Source organism: Homo sapiens, chromosome 16 (genome assembly GCF_000001405.40).
Source record: "Homo sapiens chromosome 16, GRCh38.p14 Primary Assembly".
NCBI lineage: Eukaryota > Metazoa > Chordata > Mammalia > Primates > Hominidae > Homo > Homo sapiens.
The window spans coordinates 47,729,001-47,736,283 of record NC_000016.10 but is presented as its reverse complement, the minus strand read 5'-3'; the positions used below and the strand labels follow the sequence as shown (position 1 = coordinate 47,736,283).

At 43.1% G+C, this 7,283-nt stretch overlaps 1 annotated feature.

The window, feature by feature from the left end:
* Positions 1,371 to 2,570: an enhancer, noted in NCBI's record as "CDK7 strongly-dependent group 2 enhancer chr16:47767625-47768824 (GRCh37/hg19 assembly coordinates)". NCBI's record gives its function as "activates an origin of replication core promoter dependent on BRD2, BRD4, P300/CBP, MED14 and CDK7 cofactors, with strong dependence on CDK7, by STARR-seq in HCT116 cells {active_cell/tissue: HCT116}" and the evidence as "EXISTENCE:reporter gene assay evidence [ECO:0000049][PMID:35650434]".

The following is a 7,283-nucleotide window of genomic DNA, read 5'->3' as shown; positions in this document are numbered from 1 at the left end:
CTTATTAGAATCCCCCACATCCCTTCTATTTCAAGGATTTTTGCCTTTGCTCACTCGTGTTTCATGACAGCAACCTCTCCACATCCATCCATAGTGCTTTGTTATTTGCCTCATTTTTCTGGTTTCCTGCAACTTGAGTTGCGGGGGGCAGTTAGTGATTTCTTAACTATTTTCTTCAGATGGAGCATGTGGGTGATATACACCAACGTTTGCATAAAGAGAATATTTTTAGATCCTTTTTTAACATTTTATATCCATTTTTAAACCCTTCACTACTTCAGAAATCAAAGGAATCCTGAAGTTTATGAACAACTGAAGAAGGCGTTAATGAAGAGAGATCGCAATTCAAACTGTCTCTCTATCCCTTGATTTCTGCAGAAGGGTGGGAAGATCTGTTTCCAGTCTGGGAAAGGTGGAGGTTTTTCTCTTCCTTGAGAGACTCAGAAATCTCCAGGAGTGGTCTGAGTGCAGTGGCTCACACCTGTAATTCCAGCACTTTGGGAGGCTGAGGTGGGCGGATCACCTGAGGTCAGGAGTTTGAGACCAGCCTGGCTAACATGACAAAACCCTGTCTCTACTAAAAATACAAAAATTAGCTGGGTGTGATGGCACACACCTGTCATCCCAGCTACTTGGGAGGCTGAGGTAGGAGAATTGCTTGAACCTGGGAGGCAGAGGTTGCAGTGACCAGAGATTGCACCACTGCACTCCAGCCTGGGCAACAGAGTGAGACTCAGTCTCAAAAATAAAAGAGAAAGAAATCTCCAGGAGTGAAGACAGAAACTGAAGGAGCAGCCAGAAAGTATTTAATGCAAATGTCAATACAGTCAGCCTAAGTAGAGGCCAGCTCAGCCCATTGGAAAGGGAGTTGAAGGTAAATAGAGCAGAGGCTCTGGGAAAGGAGCCAGCCAAGCCAGCCCAGGTGATAAGAGGTAGACGGTCCTTTTTTGCTCTCACCTCAGAGCCCTCACCACGCAAGGCCTGGTTTTTCAAATAGCCTTCCTTACAGATAAAAGCCATGCCTCAGTACAAATGAATTCTTGCTCTGATACCACTCAGATGTATTTTAAAGCATTGTTCCAACAGACTGATTCCACAGTAAAAGAGAGGAAGGGCGGGGTGAGAGAAAGGAGCCCAGAAGTTTCCTTGTCTGTCTCTATGTGAATCCGCCAGGCCTTTGTAACAATCACACTTAACTTGAGAGTATCTGGAAGAATGGGCCATTTTTCATTTTCCAGAGAGAATGGCCAGCACCTATAGCTTTAATAGATCCAGAGAAAGAGTAAACATAACATTTAGGATCTCTGACAAGGTTAACTGAAGATTCCACCCCAGGACAAGTGGGGTGAGTTACTTTGCTATTTCCTCCCATATGTGATATAATTTTTAGTATAATCACATTTTCTCAGACCTCAAGGAAGAGCCCTAGGGGATATTTTTAATTATAAGGTAGACTTAGCATTTGGCCCTATGTATTATGAAACATCTTTGCCAATGTCAGATAGTTGAGTCCTAGGACCAGATGGGAGCATTCATACAGGCTTATACGAGGCACTTCAGTTCCTCTTATCCTCAAATCTGCTCTCACCTCATTGTCTGAATGTACAACATCTGAGGCTTTGTTCTCCCTCGCACTCTCTGATGGGAAGCTGTATAATTCGATCCATTGTACATTAAAGGTGTTTCGTTAGGATGATCATTTAAAATACACACACACAAAGGCACACTCCAGGGTGCCACATATTAAGCATTTTATCTTTTCTTTTAAAACAATCAGAGCTAAATGTTTTTACAGATAATCCCAGACCTCATTATAGGGGAGTAAGTGCACACTCTTATAAACCATTCTTTCTCAATAACCTGGCTTATGAATATCTTCCTCTGCTCTCTTCCCATTTTCACATTTAACCCAGTTTCCTACCTTTTGAAATTCAGCAGAATCTTCTCTGTCTTGTGTAGCCTTGGCTGTGTTCTCCTGACCTCAGATCCAGAGACGATTCCTGTGGGTTATCTACCTAATGCCACCCACAACATGAAAGCCAGCCTGTAGCCGGCTGTCAGGAGCTGCTGCCTTCAGGTGATTATCATGCTCTGCATGCCTTTTGGAAAGGAAAAAAAATCAGTGAAGCACTGCTGGTCTTGCTGCATCTTCAGGATTATTATTATTATTATCATTATTGAGAAATAGTTGACTCTGCAACTGGACAGATTCTCCTTCAAAAGGCAAAGATGCCATAGGAGCAAAGGAGTCGAGACACCTCGTTGTCTATCCCCTGCCTCTGGGATGGGCTGGGGCCATTCTAGAATTTCAGCGCATTCATTCTCTCCACATAGGATGGCTCAATGTTTATGCTTAATTGCAATAAGTTTCCTTAGCATAACAGAAGCTTCGCTGGACATCCTCCAGTTCTCCCAGTTAACAGCGATGTCCCTCCTCCTCTACCAGGCTGAGCCATTATAATTTCTTCCTCAGGAATATGGATTGGGAATGTATAGCAAGGCCCCTGGTATGTAAACGCAGGTACTGCTGGTGGCTGTGTTTTCTACTGTGTGGACTGGAGAACGAGAAAGCAAAGACACAGGAGGAGGAGAATGTCCAGAGAGGAGTGAGATGAAAGCAAGGAAAGGGTCCCCCTTGCTGACAGCCAGGCCCCTCCCTGGTTCTATTCTTCCCTGAAAGCCTTGCTGCATCACGGGTCCATGAGCACCGTTCTATGCTTACAATTCTCCCTCACTTATTTTGTTTTTGTTTTTTGAGGCAGGGTCTCACTCTGTCATCCAGGCTGGAGTGCAATGGTGCGATCTCAGCTCACGGCAATCTCCACCTGCCAGATTCAAGCGATTCTCCTGCCTCAGCATCCAGAGTAGCTGGGACTACAGGCGTGCGCCACCACACCCAGCTAATTTTTTGTAGTTTTAGTAGAGACAGGGCTTCACCCTGTTGGTCAGGCTGGTCTCAAACTCCTGACCTCAAGTGATCTGCCTGCCTTGGCCTCCCAAAGTGCTGGGATTAAGGTGTGAGCCACTGCACCCAGCCTCTCCCTCATTTATTTTTTCCCTTAAAACAGCTCAAGTAAGTTTCTGATATAACCAAAACCTTCCTTACTGATAAACACATGTAACTTTTAAAGAATTGTTATTCTTTCCCTTTTCCTTTTGCCTTTTCCACTTTATCATCTGGTGTTTTGACTTCGTGGTTTTGCTGTGGACGCACATGTACGCTTGTGCGTTCTAAGACGACTTGCCAGTCTATATGGAAAAAATGAAAGACAGATTCATCCTATTCATAAACAAATGCAGGGAAAGGCATTTCAGAGCCTGCCCTGGTGAGTCACCTGCACCCCCTCCTGTGGGGCAGTCACTCTTTAGCACAAGTCTGTGTGGAAAGGCAGAGCTGGGGATTGTAGGCACTTTCATTTTTTTTTTTTAAGAGAAACCAGAAATAACCATTTTTATGAGAAATCTCTTAATTTTGAATTGTCGGCACAAATTATGTTCATACAGGAGACCAGTCCCCTGCCCCCTGCAAAAAAAGTTTTCAGGCTGCTTGAGCTCTCTACTTTACATCCTGTTAGTCATACTGTGGTCTGAGGACCCACAGCATCAGCAGCACTCAGGAACTTACCAAAAATGCAGAATCTCAGGCCTACCCCAGACAGGATGAGTCAGAATCTGTATTTTAACAAGGTCCCCAGGTCATTTGTCTGCACATTAAAGATTGAGAAATCCTGGCTTAGTTCACTAGTTCCTAAATTTGGCTGCATATTAAAACTGCCCAAGGAACTTAAAAAAAAATAGTAATACCTGAATTCCACTCCCAAGGATTTTGTTTTAATTAGTCTGGAATGCAGCTTGGGCATAAAAAAATAAAAAAATAAAAAACTCCCTGGGTGATGTTAACAGGTAGCAAATGTAAATGTAAAGAACTGCTGGTCTACCACAGGACCCAACACCACTTCCTACGGCCTCCTAGGTACTGTCCAACAGCTCACTCAGACCTCATCCGCCTTGGCTCCTGAATTGGCAGCTCCAGGTCTGGAGTCTCAAGACTTTCACAGGAGGTGCAAATTGTAGCTCCACAAATATTGCCAGAAGATAATTTTGGGAGAGGAGTGGGGAAGAGCGTTTCAATTTTTTTTAATTTGATGATCCTAAATTAGAAGACAGGACTTTCTCAAATGCCACAAAGAAATAGTGAGTATGAACATCTTAGAAAAATAACTATTATAGTCAAAAGTACTCAACTGCACAGTACAAAGACTCCAAACACACAGGATTTAAACCTGTATCTTAAATGATCTTAGGCTTCTGAAAATCCCAGTTCTTTGAAAATGTGGCCAAATAAGAAGGGAGAGAATAACAACAGCAAAATAACCAAGGTTGAACCCTGGGAGAAAGGATGCTTAAAATTAGAGTGCAGGAAAAACATCTTCTTTTACATTCTGACCCCTCGTCTCACCACTCTGATCATTGCTTCTATAATACATTCCAGCAGCTAAAACAAGCTTTTTGTTTGTATCTGAGTGTCTGTATAAAATTCTTCCAGTGTGATAAACTGCAAACAAAAACCAAACCCCCAGTTTTTTATCCCCCCTGTATCAATGCCTTGTGCAATGTGATCTGTGGCTCCTCCCCTCATGAGGTAGAGTCTTTCACCCCATCCTTTGAATCTGGGCTTCCTGTAGCCAATAGAATGTGTGGAAACTGTGCTCCCAGTCCTGAGCCTAAGCTTTAAGAGGGCTTGCATGCTGCTGCTCTCTCTCCTGGAGCACCAGTACTGCAAAGTGAGCAAGCTGGATTCGCTGGATTTGGAGAAGACCCAAGGCCCTCCTAGACCTCTCAACAGCCAGCCAAACCCCAGCAGCTGAGAAAGCCCTGCCAATATCAGCAGTCACCTGCCTAACCCACAGCTGACCAAAAATGCATGAGCAAGCCCAGTCAAGGCCAGAGGAATCACCCAGCTGGCCTACAGCATAGTGAGTTAAGTAAATACTTCATTGGTTACACAGCAATAGCTAACGGACATACCCAGCTTAGAGAATTTCAATTTAAACATTAATGTTCTAAAGAAATGGAGTTCAAAGAAATAACTGGAAAATAGTTAAGCAAAACTTGGGAACACTAAGGAAAGAATAAGCTTCTTTTGTCAATTTTGTTCCTCCATTGAGTCATTTAGGGACTGCTGTGTTACTTTGCTAAGTCAAGGAGCTGAGCAAAATTGAGGCCAGCTGGTTGGAGGTGGTGCATATTGAGAGGATGTCCCTGGGCACCAGCATCTGACAATGACTTCCTATCCACTTCCTAATTCCACCTCCACTACTGCTCCTTTTATATTTTCATCTACATTATTGAGCATTGTAATTTGAAGACCAAATTTAAATATGAACAATGTTCATGTTCTGAATAACGTCACGTTTATGGATTCCTTAGATAATTCTTATGACTGAGTACGATTTCCAAAAAGATAAAAACATCACATGTCCTAGGGCTTTCTGCAAGCTTCCTAAGAAAACGGAACTGTTTCATAAGAAACTGCTTTCAATATTCTTGTTAGAAAATCAGTTTAAAATTTAGCTCAAATGGCAAAAGAAAAAAAAGTCAGCATTTATAAGATACCACATGCATCACAGACTCAGTCTTCTCTCTCCTCTAACAAATTAGAAGTAGTGTTCAATCCTTGGGCAGTAGGCAGCTTTGTAGACAAGAGAATTATTCTGCTTGTAGCTCCCTATGACACAGGATTAAGGCTGGATTTCTGCAAACTTCTCCTTGCCTTCATAGCTGACTTGATTTGCCAAGAAGTGAACAGAATCAACCACATAATCCTATTCTAAGGCCATTCATAGTTTCTGAAGAAGGCTGGTGGCTGCCCCAGATCATGGGATAGCCCAAAGATGAACAATATTTGTATTGAAAAGCCAGATCTACTTTCAGGAGGTAAATAGAAGACTCACTTCCAGGTAAATACAAGACTAATGAAGGAAATTGCATTTTTCTCTTAATAGTGAGGTTGGCAAGCCAAGCACATGGCGTATTTATGGATCTCTGTCCCGGGCATTATGAAGAATAAAGAAGCCATCTCCCACGCAGTGACTGCTCTCAAGGAGCTCACAATCTGGTTAAGGAGACATGATGCTCGTATCCAAGAATGAGGCATGTAGATCAATACTTCCAAGAGGTATAATTCAGATGGTAAATGGTACCTGAGTGACCAGAGTTAGAGGACACAAGACTATGCTGTGAGCTGGATAAGTCATGGAAGGCCATGGGAAAAAAATCAAGAAATCAATGGCAAGATTGAGCATGCTGTTTATTAACTACTCCTCTAGAAGTATGTCCTGGCTGGCTGACTCGTTCATACACACACACACACGCGCGCGCGCGCGCGCGGTGATAATGCTGTATTTGTCCCATCTACTGAGAGTCTCAGGAGAGACAGCTGTGTAGTAGGTCGCTATTGTCATTTCTTCACATTATCTTGAGCTAGACACCACCTAGGACAGGTAAGCTCCTAGAGAAGGAAATGGTCCCAGGTGTTACCAGTGAGACGAGAGCAACCCAGGCATGTGAATCAGGAGCACACAACACAGCATCTTTTGATACGTCCTTGTGAATAGCAATTCTTAGAAAGCTTTTCCATCGGGCACCATCTGGATGCATAACTACCATTATGACAAAATAGCACTTGCTTCCACTCCAGCCATGCTTATATCTTATATCGTTGGCTCATAAAACTTGGGAGTTTTATGAGCCTTTATTTATTTCATTTATTTTTTTTTTAGACGGAGTCTCACTCTGTTGCCAGGCTGGAGTGCAGTGGCGCGATCTCAGCTCACTGCAATCTCCACCTCCCATGTTCAAGCAATTCCCCTGCCTCAGCCTCCTGAGTGGCTGGGACTACAGGTGCCCGCCACCACACCCGGCTAATTTTTTTGTATTTTAGTAGAGACAGGGTTTCACCATGTTGGCTAGGATAGTCTCAATCTTCTGACCTCATGATCTGCCCGCCTCAGCCTCCCAAAGTGCTGGGATTACAGACGTGAGCCACCATACCCAGCCGAGCCTTTATTTTTAAAAATTAAGAAAAACTTTATCTTTACACAGTTGGTTTTCAATACAATCGTAGCACATTTTCCAAAATGCCAAGTGATCTCAAAGTAATTTACATCTGAGCTAGGAATATGTCAGGTTTTCAGGATATTTCTCTTCCTACTTCCTAAATTGTGCTCTGATGAGTCTAGTAGTAAAATTAGTTAAGTATTCAACTAGGCACAAACTGCATG